Source organism: Homo sapiens, chromosome 1 (assembly GCF_000001405.40).
Source record: "Homo sapiens chromosome 1, GRCh38.p14 Primary Assembly".
Taxonomy (NCBI): Eukaryota; Metazoa; Chordata; class Mammalia; order Primates; family Hominidae; genus Homo; species Homo sapiens.
In genome coordinates, this window is record NC_000001.11 from 120,112,825 (window position 1) to 120,113,957 (window position 1,133).

Below are 1,133 nucleotides of genomic sequence, written 5' to 3' on the forward strand. Positions count from 1 at the left end.
TCTTAAAAGGATACAGAAAAATAAAATGTGACAAACGTCTTGCATTCAAATGACTACTTGATGGTATTTTATAGGTGACAAAATAGATGCCCAGAGAAGTTAATCTCCTTTCTTGGGTCCCCCCGAGTGTTAACAGCAGTGCAGGGAAGGAGTCAAGCATCCTGTCTCTGGCCCATGGCTTTTTTATCCATGTGGAGCACCAGTCCCACACAGAAATCATGTTTAGGCTACAAGTGATTTTTCATATATATCTTCTTTAATTTGCATTTGTCTGCCAAATCCACACATTAGCAAGCTCAAAACTCCAATGGAAAGGCGTATATAGGATCTTCTGGAAAATTAGATCTGGAATGACCCTAGCAGACCCAAAGAACTATGTGTGAGAAAAAACACAATACCCTGTTACACCCCCTTCAATTGTGGGCAGGTAGATTATTTACTTTGTGGGTTGATGTAACACAATTTTTAATCCCATGTTGGCTACGCTCTGCCACTTCCCCCCACCGTTAGTGGGTGTGTGCTCAGGCAGTGTAAACTCAGGAAGGTAATGCAAAACCAGGAAAGTAAATCTGCTTCTTATACCTCTCACCCCACATCAGCCTCCTCCTCTCTTTTTACTTCATTCTCTTCAGCTTTAAAAAAACAGAGGTAAATGTATTTTCAGTTGTCTTTGGCACAGCCCTGTTTTGGAAATCATAGACAGCCAGCTGGACCAGGAGTCAGGAAGCCAGGGGCTCTCATCTGGATCTGACATTGGTTAACTGTGGGCCTTCAGGAAAGTTAGATCAGTCCTCCAGGCTTTTGTTCCTTTTCTGTACAATGAAAAGAAGACTAGAGTATTTATGAAGTGCTTACTGTGCACCATGTGACATCAATTGTATTACTTTATTTAATCCATAAGAGAAAGAACTCTACTAGCTAGGAATATAGATCTGTAGTATTCAAATTTAAAAATGCTCAAGTTGCCCAAGGCCACAGAGGTGGCAAAGAGGAAGCTGAGTTGGACTTTGAACCTAGGACCATCAGATTCCAAATTTTATGCTTGAATGAGTTATCCAGTACAATCTATAATTTTCTTTTCTGTTCTAATATTATGCTGTTATGTGAGCACCACTCATCAATATTTAGTTGGC